The 19,693-nt window shown below is 44.9% G+C and overlaps 1 long non-coding RNA gene across 1 annotated transcript; it reads right to left on the bottom strand.

Moving 5' to 3' along the window:
- Nucleotides 1-2,716: 2,716 nt before the first annotated feature.
- LOC124907869 (uncharacterized) lies at nt 2,717-18,282 on the bottom strand. Its single transcript, XR_007087193.1, has 2 exons — nt 17,828-18,282; nt 2,717-3,928 (listed from the first exon to the last, which is right to left on the bottom strand). It is a non-coding gene; the product is annotated as an uncharacterized LOC124907869 (long non-coding RNA).
- Between the last annotated feature and the right edge of the window lie 1,411 nt (nt 18,283-19,693).

The following is a 19,693-nucleotide window of genomic DNA, read 5'->3' as shown; positions in this document are numbered from 1 at the left end:
TGGAGTGCAGTGGCACAATCTTGGCTCACTGCAACCTCCGCCTTCCTGGTTCTAGAGATTCTCCTGCCTCAGCCTCCGAGTAGCTGGGACTGTAGCTGGGACTATAGGCGTTTGCCACCATACCCGGCTAAATTTTAGGTATTTTTGGTAGAGACGGGGTTTCTCCATGTTAGCCAGGATGGTCTTGATCTCCTGACCTCGTGATCCACCTGCCTCGGCCTCCCAAAATGCTGGGAATACAGGTATAAGCCACCATGCCCAGCCTAACCTGATGCTGCTTTTACTGTCCAGTTATGCTTCCTGGATCTGGGCAATTATAGATACTGATGATATTGATCATGAGTATGAAGTGACGACTCCCAAAGTGGTCCCGGCATGGCACACTATGTGAGGGAGTGGAAGATGTTCTAGATGGCACAAGTTGCAAACACACACACGCACACACACACAAAGCTGCACTGCTTAGGAATAAACTCAGCCATATGGTGTGTATTAGACTGAGTGAGGACTGCAGGGACTAGCTATACCTATCTCATGGCCATGAAAAAACATCAAAAGCCCAGGATGGTGGTGAAGGAACACTCTAGATCTCTCTTGGCTCTTGCCTGCAGAACACCTGGCTTGGCCTGTCATCTCAGAATCTTTTTGTCATGTTGTCCAGGCTATCACCACTGCCCTCAGTCTAACTACTACTCCCATTCTATCGAGAGACCTTAAATCGAGGACCTCCAACTTTAGAAGTGGAGAACTTCTGCCCAAGACATCAGAAAAAAGATAATTTTCTGGACACTTAGGTTTCTTTCCTGCTTTCTCCTATCCTATTATTGCTGGTATCTCTGGTCCCCTTCCACTACCTAAAAAAAATAACAAAACTTCCTTGTGTTGCTCAATCTGTCTTACCCCTCCTGACCCTGCTGACAAACTTTTAATAGCTCCTCCTGCCTGGGCTCGATGGCTCATGCCTGTAATTCTAGCACTTTGGGAGGCTGAGGCAGGTCGATCACTTGAGATCAGGGGTTCGAGACCAGCCTGGCCAACATGGTGAAACCCCGCCTCTACCAAAAATATGAAAAATTAATCAGATATGGTGACATGTGCCTGTAATCCCAGCTACTTAGGAGGCTGAGGCAGGAGAATTGCTTGAACTCAGGAGGCGGAGGTTGCAGTGAGCCTAGTTCGTGCCAAAGCACTCCGCCTGGGGGATAGAGCAAGACTTCATCTCAAAAAAAAAAAAAAATCTCCTCCTTTGAGTACTTTGGAAGTATTCTTCCAGGAACTATTCCTTCTTTCAGGCTCTTTCTGATACTTAAATTTCCTTTATATTGTTAATCCCAGCCTCCAGTCTTGTGAGAATTGGACCTTGACGTCACGTCAGCACTGTGCTGCTGCTGTGGTCACCCAAACCTATTAGCAGAATCTAATTCGCCCTGAGCAGGACGTAGCATTGAGACTAGGTTGGGCTACGATAGCCGGAGACTTATACTCTTACAGTTTTGCCCCAAATGAATAGCACTTCTTATGGTGGATATCAGGCATATAATTGCCTACCACGCACCTAGTTTGGGCTATCAAGTGTGAGCGGTAATGGATGATCACATTGCCCTGGATTTTCTGCCAGCCAGCCAAGTAGGACATCTGAATTAATGACATACCTAACTGGCTTGGCTCTGGATGGGAAGTCTGATTGCAGCCTATCTTTTTCCAAGCAGGCCTAATTGTCCTCCTGGGAGTCATCATCATGGTTACTCTCATTTAATGTTGCCTAAGGAAAAGGATTTGGTCCAACCTTCTACCAGTACATCTAAGGTAAGTGATGGAGAATTTCCAGGCCAGGCATGGTGGTTCACACATGTAATATCAGCACTTTGGGAGGCCCAAGTGGGCAAATCACTTGAGCTCAGGAGTTTGAAACCAGCCTGAGCAACAAGGTGAAACTCCACCTCTACCAAAAATTCAAAAATTACCAGGTGTGGTGGTGCACACCTGTGGTCACAGCTACTTGGTAGGCTGAGGAGGGAGGATCACTTAAACCCAAGAGGCAGAGGTTGCAGTAAGCCAAGATTGTGCCACTGCACTCCAGCCTGGGCAACACAGTGAGACCTCATCTCAAAAAAAAAAAAAAAAGAATTCCCAGGCTCAGCACAGTGGCTCATGCCTGTAATTGCAGCACTTTGGGAGGCCGAGGTGGGTGGATCACTTGAGGCCAGGAGTTCAAGGCCAGCCTGGCCAATATAGTGAAACCCTGTCTCTACTAAAAATACAAAAAATAGCCAGGTGTGGTACCACATACCTGTGGTCACAGCTACTCAGGAGGCTGAGGCATGAGAATTGCTTTAACCCGGAGGCAGAGGTTGCAGTGGGCCGAGATTGTGCCACTGCACTCCAGCCTTGGGCAACAGAGTGAGACACCATCTCAAAAAAAAAAAAAAAAAAAACAATATCCAGAAGAATTATCAGCGGGGTATGTGGAAGGTCCAGCATGGTGGTATGGAGTGCCAACTCCACAGTGCCCTGGCAACCCTGCATGTCTTCACTTAGGCCATGTAGACAAGGCTCAACCACAGTCTGACTCCCCTTGTGCAAGAACACCCGAGGCTCCTGAAACACGGTGAGATTGTAACCGCCCAGTGGGTTCACTTTGCCCCCTGCCTAGACAAAGCCCATTTTTCAAGACAGGGGAATTACATGGAGAAAAAGTAATTCATGCAGAGCTGGCTGAGCAGGAGACCAGAGTTTTATTATTACTCAAATCAGTCTCTCTGAAAACTCAGGGATCAGGAGAGAGGTTCAAGATGGCCGAATAGGAACAGCACCAGTCTGCAGGTCCCAGCGAGATCGATGCAGACGGTGGGTGATTTCTGCATTTCCAACTGAGGTACCTGGTTCATCTCACCGGGGCAGGTTGGACAGTGGGTGCAGCCCACAGAGGCTGAGCGGAAGCAGGGTGGGGTGTCACCTCACCTGGGAAGCGCAAGGAATCGGGAAATTTTCCCCCTGACCCAAGGGAAGCTGTGAGGGTCTCAGCCTGAGGAACTTGGGCACATATACTGCACTTGTTCCATGGTCTTCACAACCTGCAAACCAGGAGATTCCCTCTGGTGACTACCCCACCAGGGCCCTGGGTTTCAAGCACAAAACTGGGCGGCCAACTGGGCAGACACTGAACTAGCTGCAGGAGCTTTTATTTTATTTTATTTTTCCATATCCCAGTGGCACCTGGAACGCCAGCGAGACAGAACTGTTCACTCCCCTGGAAAGGGGGCCTGAAGCCAGGGAGCCAAGTGGTCTGGCTCGGCGGTTCCCACCCCCATGGAGCCCAGGAAAGTAAGATCCACTGGTTTGAAATTCTCGCTTCCAGCACAGCAGCAATCTGAGATCCACCTGGGACGGTGGCGCTTGGTAGGGGGAGGGGCGTCCGCCGTTGCTGAGGCTTGAGCAGGCGGTTTTACCACCACAGTGTAAGCAAAGCTGCTGGGAAGTTCAAACTGGGTGGAGCCCATTGCAGCTCAGCAAGGCTGCCGTGTTCAGACTGCGAGATTGCTCCTCCCTGGACAGGGCATCTCTGTAAAAAAGGCAGCAGCCCAGTCAGGCTTGTAGCAGACTTAAACGTCCCTGCCTGATGGCTCTGAAGACAGCAGCGGATCTCCCAACACAGCATGCGAGCCTGCTAAGGGCCAGACTGCCTCCTCAAGTGGATCCCTGACCCCTGTGTATACTGACTGGGAGACACCTCCCAGTTGGGGCTGACAGACACCTCATACAGAAGAGCTCTGGCTGGCATCTGGCAGGTTCCCTGCTGGGTCGAAGCTTCCAGAGGAAAGAACAAGCAGCAATCTTTGCTGCTTTGCAGCCTCCACTGGTGATACCCAGGAAAACAGGGTCAGGAGGGGACCTCCAGCAAACACCAGCAGACTGGCAGCAGAGGGGCCTGTTAGAAGAAAAAGAAACAAACAGAAAGGATTAGCACGTCCACTCAAAGACCCCATCCGAAGGTTACCAACATCAAAGACCAAAGGTAGATAAATCCACAAAGATGGGGAAAAACCAGTGGAAAAAGGCTGAAAAATCCAAAACCAGAACGCCTCTCCTCCTCCAAAAGATCGCAACTCCTCGCCAGCAAGGGAACAAAACTGGACAGAGAATGAGTTTGACGAACTGACAGAAGTAGGCGTCAGAAGGAGGGTAATAACAAACAACTCCGAGCTAGAGGAACATGTTCTAACCCAATGCAAGGAAGCTAAGAACCTTGAAAAAAGGTTAGTCAAATTGCTAACTAGAATAACCAATGTAGAGAAGAACATAAATGACCTGATGGAGCTGAAAAACACAGCATGAGAACTTCGTGAAGAATACACAAGTATCAACAGCCAAATCAATCAAGTGGAAGAAAGGATATCAGCGATTGAAGATCAACTTAATGAAATAGAGAAGACAAGAGTAGAGAAAAAAGAATAAAAAGGAATGAACAAAGCCTCCAAGAAATATGGGACTATGTGAAAAGACCAAATCTACGTTTGATTGATGTACCTGAAAGTGACAGGGAGAATGAAACCAAGTTAGAAAACACTCTGCAGGATATTATCCAGAACTTCCCCAACCTAGCAAGACAGGCCAACATTCAAATTCAGGAAATACAAAGAACACCACAAAGATACTCCTTGAGAAGAGCAACCCCAAGACACATAATTGTCAGATTCACCAAGGTTGAAATGAAGGAAAAATGTTAAGGGCAGCCAGAGAGAAAGGTCGGGTTACCCACAAAGGGAAGCCCATCAGACTAACAGCAGATCTCTCGGCAGAAACCCTACAAGCCAGAAGAGAGTAGGGGCCAATATTCAACGTTCTTAAAGAAAGAATTTTCAACCCAGAATTTCATATCCAGCCAAACTAAGCTCCATAAGTGAAGGAGAAATAAAATCCTTTACAGACAAGCAAATGCTGAGGGATTTTGTTACCACCAGACCTGCCTTACAAGAGCTCCTGAAAGAGGCACTAAACATGGAAAGGAACAATGAGTACCAGCCACTGCAAAAACATATCAAGTGTAAAAAACATCGACACTATGAAGAAACTGCATTAACGGGCAAAACAACTAGCTAGCATCATAATGACAGGATCAAATTCACACATAACAATATTAACCTTGGGTTGGGCATGGTGGCTCATGCCTGTAATCCCAGCACTTTGGGAGTCCAAGGCAGGCGGATCACAAGATCAGGAGTTCGAGACCAGCCTGACCAACATGGTGAAACCCCATCTCTAATAAAATAAAAAAATTAGCCAGGCCTGGTGGCAGGTGCCTGTAATACTCGGGAGGCTGAGGCAGGAGAATTGCTTGAACCCAGGGGGCGGAGGTTGAGTGAGCTGAGATGGTGCCATTGCACTCCAGCCTGGGCAACAGAGTGAGACTCCATCTCAAAAACAAAAACAAAACAAAACAAAAACAATATTAACCTTAAATGTAAATGGGCTAAATGCCCCAATTAGAAACACAGACTGGCAAATTGGGTAAAGAGTCAAGAACCATGAGTGTGCTGTATTCAGGAGACCCATCTCACATGCAAAGACACACACAGGCTCAAAATAAAAGGATGGAGGAATATTTACCAAGCAAAAAAAAGCAGGAGTTGCAATCCTAATCTCTGATGAAACGGACTTTAAACCAACAAAGATCAAAAGAGACAAAGAAGGGCATTATATAATGGTAAAGGGAACAATGCAGCAAGAAGAGCTAACTATCCTAAATATATATGCACTCAATACAGAAGCACCTAGATTCATAAAGCAAGTTCTTAGAGACCTACAAAGAGACTTAGACTCCCATACAATAATAGTGGGAGACTTTAACACCCCATTGTTAATATTAGATCAATGAAACAGAAAATTAACAAGGATATTCAGGACTTGAACTCAGCTCTGGACCAAGCAGACCTAATAGACCTCTACAGAACTCTCCACCCCAAATCAACAGAATATATATTCTTCTCAGCACCTCATCACACTTATTCTAAAACCGACCACATAATTGGAAGTAAAATACTCCTCAGCAAACGCAAAAGACCAGAAATCATAACAAACAGTCTCTCAGACCACAGTGCAATCAAATTAGAACTCAGGATTAAGAAACTCACTCAAAACTGCACAACTACATGGAAACTGAACAACTTGCTGCTGAATGACTACTGGGTAAATAACGAAATGAAGGCAGAAATAAAGATGTTCTTTGAAACCAATGAGAATAGAGACACAATGTACCAGAATATCTGGGACACATTTAAAGCAGTGTTTAGAGGGAAATTTATAGCACTAAATGCCCACAAGAGAAAGCAGGAAAGATCTAAAATTGACACCCTAACATCAAAATTAAAAGGACTAGAGAAGCAACAGCAAACACATTCAAAACTTAGCAGAAGACATGAAATAACTAAGAGAGCAGAGCTGAAGGAGATAGAGACATGAAAATCCCTTCGAAAAATCAATGAATCCAGGAGCTGGTTTTTTGAAAAAATCAACAAAATAGATAGACTGCTAGCCAGACTAATAAAGAAGAAAAGAGAGAAGAATCAAGTAGTCGCAATAAAAAATGATATAGGGGATATCACCACTGATCCTACAGCAGTACAAACTACTATCAGAGAATACTATAAACACCTCTATGCAAATAACCTAGAAAATCTAGAAGAAATGGATAAATTTCTGGGCACATACACCCTCCCAAGTCTAAGCCAGTAAGAAGTCGAATCTCTGAATAGACCAGTAACAAGTTCTGAAATTGAGGCAGTAATTGATAGCCTACCAACCAAAAAAAGTCTAGGACCAGATGAATTCACAGCCGAATTCTACCAGAGGTACAAAGAGGATCTGGTACCATGCCTTCTGAAACTATTCCAAACAATAGAAAAAGAGGGAATCCTCCCTAACTCATTTGATGAGGCCAGCATCATCCTGATACCAAAACCTGGCAGAGACACAACAAAAAAAAATTTCAGGCCAATATCCCTGATGAACATCGATGCAAAAATCCTCATAAAATACTGGCAAACTGAATCCAGCAGCACATCTAAAAGCTTATCCACCATGATCAAGTTGGCTTCATCCCTGGGATGCAACCCTGGTTCAACATACGCAAATCAATAAACGTAATCCATCATATAAACAGAACCAAAGACAAAAGACACATGATTATCTCAATAGATGCAGAAAAGGCCTTTGATAAAATTCAACACCCCTTCATGCTAAAAACTCTAATAAACTAGGTATCGGTGGAACATATCTCAAAATAATAAGAGCTATTTATAACAAGCCCACAGCAAATATCATACTGAATGGGCAAAAACTGAAAGCATTCCTTTGAAAACCGGCACAAGACAAGGATGCCATCTCTCACCACTCCTATTCAACATAATATTGGAAGTTCTGGCCAGGGCAATCAGGCAAGAGAAAGCAATAAATGGTATTCAAATAAGAAGAGAGGAAGTCAAATTGTCTCTCTTTGCAGATGACATGATTGTAAATTTAGAAAACCCCATTGTCTCAGCCCAAAACCTCCTTAAGCTGATAAGCAACTTCAGCAAAGTCTCAGGATACAAAATCAATGTGCAAAAATCACAAGCATTCCTATAAACCAATAACAGACAAACAGAAAGCCAAATAATGAGTGAACTCCCATTCACAATTGCTACTAAGAGAATAAAATACCTAGGAATCCAACCTACAAGGGATGTGAAGGACCTCCTCAAGGAGAACTACAAACCACTGCTCAAGGAAATAAGAGAGGACAAAAACAAATGGGAAAACATTCCATGCTCATGGATGGGAAGAATCAATATCGTGAAAATGGCCATACTTCCCAAAGTAATTTATAGATTCAATGCTATCCCCATCAAGCTACCACAGACTTTCTTCACAGAATTGGAAAAAACTACTTTAAACTTCATATAGAACCAAAAAAGAGCCTGCATAGCCAAGACAATCCTGGGCAAGAAGAACAAAACTGGAAGCATCATGCTACCTGACTTCAAACTATACTACAAGGCTACAGTAACCAAAACAGCATGGTACTGGTACCAAAACAGAGATATAGACCAATGGAACAGAACAGAGGCCTCAGAAATAACACCACACAGCTACAACCATCTGATCTTTGACAAACCTGACACACACAAGCAATAGGAAAAAGATTCCCTATTTAATAAATGGTGTTGGGAGAACTGGCTAGCCATATGCAGAAAACTGAAACTGGACCTCTTCCTTACACCTTTTACAAAAATCAATTCAAGATGGATCAAAGACTTAAATGTAAGACCTAGGACCATAAAAATCCTAGAAGAAAACCTGAGCAATACCATTCAGGACATAGGCATGGGCAAAGACTTCATGCCTAAAACACCAAAAGCAATGGCAACAAAAGGCAAAATTGACAAATGTGATCTAATTAAACCAAAGAGCTTCTGCACAGCAAAAGAAACTACCATCAGAGTGAACAGGCAACCTACAGAATGGGAGAAAAATTTTGCAATCTATCTATCTGACAAAGGGCTAATATCCAGAATCTACAAAAAACTTAAACAAATTTACAAGAAAAAAGCAAACAACCCCATCAAAAAATGGGCAAAGGGTATGAACAGACACTTCTAAAAAGAAGACATTTATGCAGCCAACAGACATGAAAAAATGCTCATCGTCACTGGTCATTAGAGAAATGCAAATCAAAACCACAATGAGATACCATCTCATGCCAGTTAGAATGGCGATCATTAAAAAGTCAGGAAACAGGCCGGGCACGGTGGCTCAAGCCTGTAATCCCAGCACTTTGGGAGGCCGAGGTGGGTGGATCACGAGGTCAGGAGATCCAGACCATCCTGGCTAACACAGTGAAACCCTGTCTCTACTAAAAATACAAAAAAATTAGCCAGGCGTGGTGGCAGGTGCCTGTAGTCCCAGCTACTCGGGAGGCTGAGGCAGGAGAATGGCGTGAACCCAGGAGGCAGAGCTTGCAAAGAGTTGAGATCGTGCCACTGCACTCCAGCCTGGGAAAGATGGCGAGACTCTGTCTCAATAAAAAAATAAATAAATAAATAAAAAGTCAGGAAACAACAGATGCTGGAGAGGTTGTGGAAAAATAATGCTTTTACACTGTTGGTGGGAGTGTAAATTAGTTCAACCATTGTGGAAGACAGTGTGGCGATTCCTCAAAGATCTAGAACTGGAAATATCATTTGACCCAGCAATCCCATTACTGGGCTTATACCCAAAGGATTATAAATCATTCTATGATAAAGACACATGCACACGTATGTTTATTGTGGCACTATTCACAATAGCAAAGACTTGGAACCAACCCAAATGTCCATCAATGATAGACTGGATTAAGAAAATGTGGCACATATACACCATGGAATACTATGCAGCCATAAAAAAGGATGAGTTCATGTCCTTTGCAGGGACATGGATCAAGCTGGAAACCATCATTCTCAGCAAACTATCACAAGGTCAGAAAACCAAACACCACATGTTCTCACTCATAAGTGGAAGTTGAACAATGAGAATATATGGACACAGGGAGGGGAACATCACACACCGGGGCCTGTCAGGGGGTCGGGGGCTAGAGGAGGGATAACATTAGGAGAAATACCTAATGTAGGTGACGGGTTGATGGGTGCAGCAAACCACCAGGGCACGTGTATACCTATGTAACAAAACTGCACGATGTACACATGTTTGCCAGAACTTAAAGTATAATTAAAAAAAAAAAAAAGAAAAGAAAAGAAAACTCAGGGATCAGGGTTTTTAAGAATAATTTGGTGGGTAGGGGTCCAGTGAGCCAGGAGCACCGATTGGTTGGCTTGAGGATGAACTCATAGGCAGTCGAAGCTATCCTCTTATGCTGAGTCAGTTCCTGGGTGAGTGCCACAGAACTGGTTGGCAGGTCCAGGTGAGGCCAACCACTTGTCAGAAATGGAAAAACCTGAAAAGACATCTCAAAAGGCCAATCTCAGGTTCACAATGGTGATGTTATCTTCAAGAGTAATCAGGGAAGTTGCAAATCTCATGACCTTCCACGTAACAGCTGGTAATATTTAGAGTTCCAGCCCCTCTCATCCTAACTTGGTGGCTGGTGGCCTTTCATTCGTTTTACAAGAACAGATTTGCTTTTGGGAAGGGCTGTTATTTAAACTATAAACTAAATTCCTTCCCAAGGCTAGTTCGGCCTATGCCCAGGAATGGATAAGGACAGTTTAGAGGTTAGAAGCAAGATGGAGTCAGTTAGGTCTGATCTATTTCACTGTCATAATTCCCCATAATTTTGGCAAAGGCGGTTTCAAGATGGGCAGTCTTCTTCAGAACTCTCCCGAGCCAGTTTATCACCTGCTTCCCTGGTTCTGGTAAGCATGAGACTCCATGCCTTGCCCTCCTCTGAGTATAGCTGCAGACTAGAAAACACTTGGCTGGGCCAGGCACGGTGGCTCATGCCTGTAATCCCAGCACTTTGGGAGGCTAAGGTAGGCAGATCACTAGGGGTCAGGAGTTTGAGACTAGCCTGGCCAACATGGGGAAAACTCCGTCTTTACTAAAAATACAAAAAAAAAAAAAAAAAAAAAAAAAGAAGCTGGGCATGGTGGCGCATGCCTGTAATCACAGCTACTCAGGAGGCCGAGGCAGTGAGATGAGATCACACCACCGCACTCCAGCCTGGGCAACAGAGCAAGACTCTGTCAAAAGAAAGAGGAAGGGAAGGGAAGGCAAGAGAAGGCAAAGGGAGGGGAGGGGAGGCAAGGGGAGGAGAGGTTAGGTGAGGGGAGGCGAGGCGAGGGGAGGGGAGGGAGAAGAAGGGAAGGGGAGGCCAGGGAAGGGGAGGCAAGGGGAGGGGAGGGGAGGGAGAAGGAGGAAAGGGAAGGGAAGGGAAGGGAAAGGAAGGGAAGGGAAGGGAGGGGAGGGGAGAGAAGGGGAGGGGAGGCGAGGGGAGGGAAAGAAAGGAGGGAGGGAGGGGAGGAAGGAAGGCAGGCTTGACTGTAGCTTAGGAAGGAAGGAAGGCAGGCAGGCAGGCTTGGCTGTAGCTTAGGAAGGAAGGGGAAAATGCTTGTCTGTAGCTTAGAATTAGCACCCACACTCGACGGGAGGCGATGATACAAGGCATGTATATGAGGGAGTGGGAATTTGGGGACCACCTAGAATTATGCCTTCCCATCCCTGAGAGCATGTGCATAGCTACCAGCTATAAAGCTGCTTGGCTGCAGTGTGGTATGGGCTTCACCTGGCACTCATGTTGCTGCCATTTGGCCCCTGTTGTTTTGGTGCCGCCCTGTGCAAGGGTCACAGGGACCTGGCACCTCTGTCTACTTGCGCTTTCACCATCTGTATGAGTAATATAAACTGCCTGATCTAAAAAATGGCTCCTTGTTGCTTTCCTGACCATGCATGTCAGCCAGGCCTTGCCTTGTGCTTGATACATAGCAGCTGTGGCTCCCCCAGGCTGCTGCTTAGGGGCTGCTGCTTAGGGGCTGCTGCTTGGCCATCTGACAGGAAGATACTCGGTCTACTAAGGGAGGAAAGAATGATACATGAAGGAACCACAGGACGTGGCCAAATGTCCAGTAGGTGCTGGGGAGACACACGGGGCTGGCTCTCCTCATGCTGCATCAAGTGGGACAAAGTTGGATAAAGGGAAGTTTATTGATGCGAGAGTGCTGCTGTGGGGTATGGGATTCACACCCCAGCAAGGAGGTGAAGATAGTACTAACACTCCACTCAATGGTCTCATGGAAGCCTGGAAAAAGCAATATCCCCCAGGAAAGCAGAACTGCCAGAAATGCCGTGCAATAGTGGATACAGGAATGAGGTGGCTCAGAGAAGCAGGCATGCTGGAGTGGATATGCTACTGAGGAAAGAAAACCCACCAGGTCACCGCAGTCCACAGGGGAGCCGTGGGCACCTTCTGTTTATCCAAACGAGGAGGAATGTGCTGTTCAATGGGGCCACCAGCATCAGCAAGAAGCTTGGTGGTGACTGTGGGCTGATCGTGGGAGATGATGTTACAGAGCTATGTTCCCAATACTAATGAGGATGAGTCCTGAAATAATAGAGGCCAGGTGACAACACTTCACTGCCAGAAGAATGCTGGGTGAGATTGCTGTAATACATGGCAAGAACAGATGTAATGTATGACAGGCAGGGGAGTCTGTTCCCATAGAGAATTATAGAGATGGGCCAGGCGCTGTGGCTTACGCCTGTAATCCCAGCACTTTGGGAGGCCTAGGTGGGTGGATCACCTGAGGTCAGGAGTTCAAGACCAGCCTGGCCAACATGGTGAAACACCCCAGTCTCCACTAAAAATACAAAAAATTAGCCAGGCGTGGTGGTGGGTGCCTATAATCCCTACTACTCAGGAGGCTGAGGCAGGAGAATCGCTTGAACCCAGGAGGCAGAGGTTGCAATGAGCCGAGATGGTGCTATTGCACTCTAGCCTGGGTAACAGAATGAGATTCTGTCTCAAAAAAAAAGAGAGAGAGTATTATAGAAATGATAATAGGACATAATTTTCCTAAGGGCAAAATACAGCTTAATTTATGCAATCAGAGGGAATCAGAAATGATCAAGGCTCAAGACACATCTCAATAAAAAACTATGATCCTTTGATCAGTTTCTAGACCTGAGCCAGTACCCCTTGACTGAATGGGATGCCAGCCCACATAAGGGAGGATCCTACATCACGGCAAATGTATGTGGTAATGATTCCCTCCAATCCTTCTCCAGAAAGACCTGAGGGCATGTACTCAGGTAAATGTACACTGGGGAAAAGGGAATAATCGACCTTTCAGGAACTATTGGACACAGGATCCAAGTTAACACTGAAAATCAGAGACTCAAACATCATCATTAAAGGGGCCAGGTAATACATGGGGTGCCAGGCCAGGCCAAGTTCCTACTGGGTGCAACACAAGCTTCCAAGAGTCCTTTCCCAATGGAATCCACAGGATGCACGTAATTCCTCCAGCAACAGGTTATGACAACACATGTGAAACATTGTCTACCAGGGAGGCTCATTAGAGACTCAGTGTGTAAGGTTTTAATGCAGGGAAGGTACTTACATTGGCGTCCACTGTCTGGCATGTACCAAAATTCTAGACTCTCAGAAGGAAAAGAGGTGTTCAGCATAAGCTGAACACTTTAGATACAGTGAGACACTCCGATGAGAGAATGATGGAAATCCAACTGACTAGATGCCAGCCAAGGGCCAACCTTGCAAGCCGACTTTTCCGAGAATAGCAGGCTCAGGCCTGCTGTGTTAACTTTTTTCTACACAGGCTGTTCACTTGGAATTATATATTCAACAAAAATATATTTCAAGAATGACAGTAAAATAAAGACATTTTTGGGCTAACGATATAGAGGGTTTGCTCCAAAAAGAGCTGCCATAAATTCTGAAGGATGTGCTTATGCAGAAGAGTAATCCAGGAAGATCAGAGACGCAGGAAAGAACAAAGAACACTGATGGTACAGTACCCTGTAAGAATGTCTTCTGGGCCCAAAAGAGCAAGAGAAACACAGCATGTAAGGGGGAGAGGATGTGAGGTTAATGTAATCAAATATCCTTATATAGTTGAAGGACAGTAGAGCTATTTCTTGATTTTATACATGTTAATTATGAATGTCAAAATATGTAAAGTTAATTACTAGGCCAGGCATGGTGGCTCACGACTGTAATCCCAGCAGTTTGGGAGGCCGAGGTGGGCGGATCACCTGAGGTTAGGAGTTCGAGACCAGCCTGGCCAACATGGCGAAACTGCATCTCTACTAAAAATACAAAATCTCCTTGTCTCCCTTTTGCCTAACTTGGTCCTTCCAGGTCCCTGACCAACTAGCCAAGCCATTTGCCACAGCTCAGGAGTCCATACTCATACCTACTTCAGGCCTCTTCTCCCTCTATACAAAGTGGATGGCCAAATACACTATTCAGCTCTGATTGCTGGGAAGATTTCCCCTCATGGCTATTTTGAGGGCCACCTTGAGTAGGGCTGTAGTATGATAGCAGTCTACTTCAGTGGATAACAGTCTATTTCAGCTCACACCAACAAGGCCCAGGATTGTTCTTCTATCAGTTGATCATACACACCTACCTGAGGCTATGGACATCAGCTGAGTCAATGGCTTCAATGCAACCGAGGTGGATGACCTGGGGATCTGGGCCATGTGTCCATTTAACTTACTTATGTTCTCGACCTGCTCCTGAATGACCATTTCTATCATACTTGAAAGGCAGCTCCAGGTGCAAAGTCACTTGATGCCCCATGGTCAATTTCAAAATCTCTTTTAGGGCCCAATGGTATGACAAGAATTGCTTTTCCAATGAATGGCAAATAATTGTCTGTTACAGAAGGCATAGTCTTGCTCCAGATCTCTAGGGGTCTGTGCTGCAATTCTCCCAGTGGACTTTCCAGAAACACCACACGGCATCTTGATCTACTATGCCTACACTAGCATCACTGAGCCCGCTGGCATAGAAGGCAAAGAGCAGGGCAGTTTGCCCCACACCTTGGATCTGCTGCAGGGTCTCATTGTTTGGGTATTATTTGAACTAGGAGATAAATGAGTAAATGCTGTATTGCCAGTGTGGTATATGATGCCTCAAAATGCCTCTTTCTTAGCAATAGGGGGTGCTTAAGGTACAGCAACTTGTTTCAGACCAGTGGACCCTACAAATGTCACCAATATGGCAAAGCCTCCGAATTTTAGGGGAGGGGAGTCCTGTCTCCCACCAACTGGCATCTGGTCATTCAGAGTACCTGCCATATTTTGTTCAACCAAGTCCAGCTAGCATTATGTTCTGTGGAATGGCAAGATGATCAGGTCCCTGTGGATCATACTGTGATAGAGAGGAGAAGAGTTACCATAGCACTGGGGCAAGAAGGTAAATCTATTCTGCTGCCTTCCCTACATGTGAACAAAATAACTTTGAGTCTCTTTACTCATGAGGATTGAAAAGAATGCATTTATCAGATCAATAGCTGCATGCCAAGTGCCACAGGCTGTATCGATCTGTTCAGGTAAACATCCAGCCTAGCAGCTACAATTTCGGCTATCACTTGGTTAAGTTGATGGAAGCCCACAGTCATCCACCACAATCCATATGGTTTTTTATACATATGAGCCAAATGGCGATATGATAGGAACCATCCTCCCTGCATCTTTAGTCTTTGATGGAGGTGCTGATCTCTGCAATTCTCCAGACGTGGTGTTATTTTTTATTTATCATCTTGACACTTGATGCTTGGACCTGCCTAACATAATTGGTGAGAGAACTAATATGCAAGTTCTGCTACCTGCTAAGTATATCCACCCCAATTAAGAGACCTGGAAATAACTTCAAGAGGGAACTGTGGGCCCACTGGACAAACATGAGACAAACATGAGGCAGGACTCCGCTTATTACCTTGTCTCCCGTGCCCACTCTAGGCAGGGATCTATAGTGGCATTTCAGATCCTCTGGTACCGATTTCATGAACCTGGTATTCCATGGCCCTTGAGAAATCTAGGTACTTCCCTTTCTATAGTGGACAGTTACCCTAGAACATGGCTCGGTCCCTTTAACAAAGAGCTAGAGGAATACTTGCTGCATGTATTTGCAGTAGCATTGTCGGATTCTTCCTCGGGGGAACTGGGCTGCCCTTCTGTCAACAGGGTCTGAGCTTGAGAACTGACATGTGATTTTTTTTTTTTTTTTTTGAGATGGAGTCTTGTTCTGTCACCGAGGCTGGAGTGCAATAGCATGATCTCGGGTCACTGCAACCTCTGCCTCCTGGGTTCAAGCGATTCTCCTGCCTCAGCCTCGTGAGTAGCTGAGATTACAGGTCCCCACCACCACGCCCGGCTAATTTTTGTATTTTAGTAGAGACGGGGTTTCACCATATTAGCCAGGCTAGTCTTGAACTCCTGACCTCACCTGATCCACCCACACTGGCCTCCCAAAGTGCTGGGATTACAGGTGTGAGCCATGGTGCCTGGCCAGACTTGTGATTTTCATTGTGGAAGATGACATAGGGCTCTGCTCCCCAGATCTTCATTTTTCCTGGTTATACAGTCAAATAATACTCTAGGCAATATCCCCCATGGGATGGTGTTCTCCCCAGGGGACTGTGTGGACCATTGGCCATTGCCACAGGTATCTGCGTATCACGGCACCCTGACTACCAGTCCAGGCTTGCTGCCCATTCCAGTAATTTGTACTCACTTTGTCTCTGATGGTTAAGTGCCTCCACCTGCCTCTGCTATTTCAGAATCCTGTCACTCCCATTAACCCTAGGGAGCCCAGTTCAATGGCATCGTATCTCACTGTCACTCCTAGCCTATGGAGACTCCACCAGTGAGTTTCCCATTGATACCAGAAGCTCCCTCACTAGTGCACTCTACACTACATCTGGGGTAAAGGGCCATGATGTCTGCAACACATTCTCAAATTGTTCAGGGAAAAAAAATGTTAAGAACAGAGAGAGGCCGGGCACAGTGACTTACACCGGTAATCCCAGTACTTTGGGAGGCTGAGGTGGGAGGATTCCTTGAGCCCAGGAATTTGAGAACAGCCTGGGAAACATAGCAAGACCCCTACCAAAAAAAAAAAAAAAAAAAATTAGCTGGGCATAGTGGTGTATACCTGTGGTCCCAGCTATGTGGGAGGCTGAGGCAGGACGATCACTTGAGCCCAGGAGGTCGAGGCTGCATGATCACACCACTGCTGTTGCCACCCTGAACAATAGCAAGATGCTGTCTCCAAAAATAAAAGAACAGAGAGAAAGAAAAGCAATGAAGCAAATAAAGCAAAATGTCCACAGGAGGAAAATCTGAGAAAGGAGATTTTATATATATATATAACGATTTTTTTTTTTTGGCTGGGCATGGTAGCTCATGCCTGTAATCCCAGCACTTTGGGAGACAGAGGTGGGCAGATCACGAGGTCAGGAGTTCGAGACCAGCGTGACCAGCATGGTGAAACCCTGTCTCTAATAAATATACAAAAATTAGCGGGGCGTGGTGTTGCAGCTACTTGGGAGGCTGAGGCAGGAGAATCGCTTGTACCTGAGAGGCGGAGGTTGCAGTGAGCCGAGATCACGCCATTGCGTTCCAGCCTGGGCGATACAGTGAGACTCTGTCTCAAAAAATAAAAACAACGTTTTTTTAATCACCTTTCCAAACTTTTCCACAGTAACTAGGACACTTGTGTTTTCTACATCTTGTGTCAAATATGATCCTTAGAAGTTCAGCAGGAAATATTTTTACTAGAGTGGCATGCAGTAGCCTCCAGACAATTTCTGATTACATTCCTTTCTGATTTCTAAATGCATCTGTTTTTAACCTTTTACTTTCTTTATCTATTCAGTCTCCTGAAGGGTGCATATAGTTTATCCTGAAAGAAGCAATTTGAGATTAATCCTTTCAATCATCTTTTGCCTTGTTTTTATTTCCTGTTTTATTCACATCAGGTTTTAATTTTACTAATTCCTTCTAATTTTTGTACCTCAAGAGAGCTCAGACTTAGATAGATCAAAATCTGTTTCATAATACACTCTCATCACCATTCTATACATACCCTGCTTTCATTTATTTTGTGTTCTTAAAAATATTATAATAAACATGTGTGTAATCAATGTCCAACCTAAGAAGTAGAAAGAATAAACTATTATCTTTAAAATACAGGGCTATGGACTTATCTGCACATAGCACCATTCAGTTAATAACTAAAGTTATGCCACTTTTTGTAATGACTCCCTTTTTACAGTATAATGACTCCCCAAAAACACACTAAATAAGTACACTGTAAGAAGTAATACTTGACCTTAGGGTTTCCAGCAAAGACACACCCCAAAATCTCCATGCGCAGTTCCCAGCCGGAGGCCTCACGTGGAAGCAGCTGCCTCTGGTCTGTGTGGGACAGCGCCACCTCCTGGTCGGCGGCAGAGCCAGCATCTTAATTCCATGCATGCTTCCATGCTAGGAAACGCCCTTGCTTAGCCTTAATTTTGTTTCAAACGTATTTGGGGTGCCATAAGTTTATTTTCTGTAAAGTTTGAGGGCACTGTAATCATGAGCTCCCAAAAGACTGAAAAATTGGTGAGGACAATGGTGCAAGATGAAAAATGCCCCTTCCCCGATGGTCAAGTCCTGAGTTCCTCTTTTGGGGAAGGCAACATATCTACATTACACGAAGTTCTATGCACATAATATTTATTTACATTAAACTTGTTGGGCTGGGCGCTGTGGCTCACGCCTGTAATCCCAGCATTTTGGGAGGCCGAGGCAGGTGGATCACGAGGTCAGGAGATTGAGACCAGCCTGGCCAACATGGTGAAACCCTGTCTCTAATAAAAATACAAAAATTAGCCGGGCGTAGTGGCGCGTGCCTGTAGCCCCAGCTACTCAGGAGGCTGAGGCAGGAGAGTTGCTTGAACCCGGGAGGCGGAGGTTGCAGTGGGCCAAGATCATGCTACTGCACTCCAGTCTGGGAGACAGAGGGAGACTCCGTCTCAAAAAAAAAAAAAAAATTGTTGTTTACTACTGACATAAATATGTTTTCTTTATTTGGTTGATTTTTTTTCTATTAAAATTATTCACGTGTCTTGGATTGAGATAAATGATGTATTTTCTCATTAAAATTAATAGAAATATTTTTTTCATATGCAGGTTTGTCACTTAGCAGCAAAGTTTTTAGGAATAAATTAGTCATTAAGTGAAGGATAGGTATAACTTCAAAAGAAAGGTACAAATATCTAAATGATGGCAACAAAAGAATTAACATTAAAATGTCAATCAATCCAAGACTAACACATAAAAATTAATCAAAAAGAGTAAAAACTTTTAAAGACCACATGAACTAGCATGATTCAAAGTAATTAGGAATAAATAATACAGCAAAAATAAAAATAAAAACTTGGCCAGGCGTGGTGGCACATGCCTGCAATCCCAGCACATTGGGAGGCCGAGGCAAGCAGATCACCTGAGATCAGGAGTTTGAGACCAGCCTGGCCAACATGGCAAAACCCCATCTCTACTAAAAATACAAAAATTAGCCGGGTGTGGTGGTGGGCGCCTGTAATCCCAGCTACTTGGGAGGCTGAGGCAGGAGAATCGCTTGAGCCCAGGAGGCAGAGGTTGCAGTGAGCTGAGATTGTGTCACTGCACTCCAGCCTGGGCAACAACAGCGAAACTCCATCTAAAAAAAAAAAAAAATTAAGCTTCCTACAAACTGTTGAAGTAATACATAAATTAATTGTCACAAGATTTCAAACAATACAAAGAGAGTGTGAGAACCCCTTGAATATTTCTCTTGTGATTTCAGTTCCCCTCCCAATCCCAAATGAACTCGGGCACAAACAAGCATGCAGAGTTTGGAATGTATCAGCAATTTTCCTCCAAAATGTGTGTACCATGAACAATAGCTTATGAGGTACCTATTTTTACACTTTCTACTTATTTTAATTTTTTTTTTAAGAGATGGGGTCTCACTATGTTGCCCAGGCTGGTCCCAAACGCCTGGCCTCAAGCTATCCTCCCACTTTGGCCCCCTAAAGTGCTGGGATTATAGGTGTGAGCCACCACGCTTGGCCCTATTTCTACATTTTCTTTTCTTTTTAATTTTTCTTTTCTTTTTTTTTCTTTTGAGACAGAATTCTGCTCTTGTTGCCCAGGCTGGAGTGCAATGGCG

The sequence above is a fragment of the Homo sapiens genome, chromosome 2 (assembly GCF_000001405.40).
Source record: "Homo sapiens chromosome 2, GRCh38.p14 Primary Assembly".
Lineage (NCBI taxonomy): Eukaryota > Metazoa > Chordata > Mammalia > Primates > Hominidae > Homo > Homo sapiens.
This window is presented reverse-complemented; position numbering and strand designations above follow the sequence as displayed.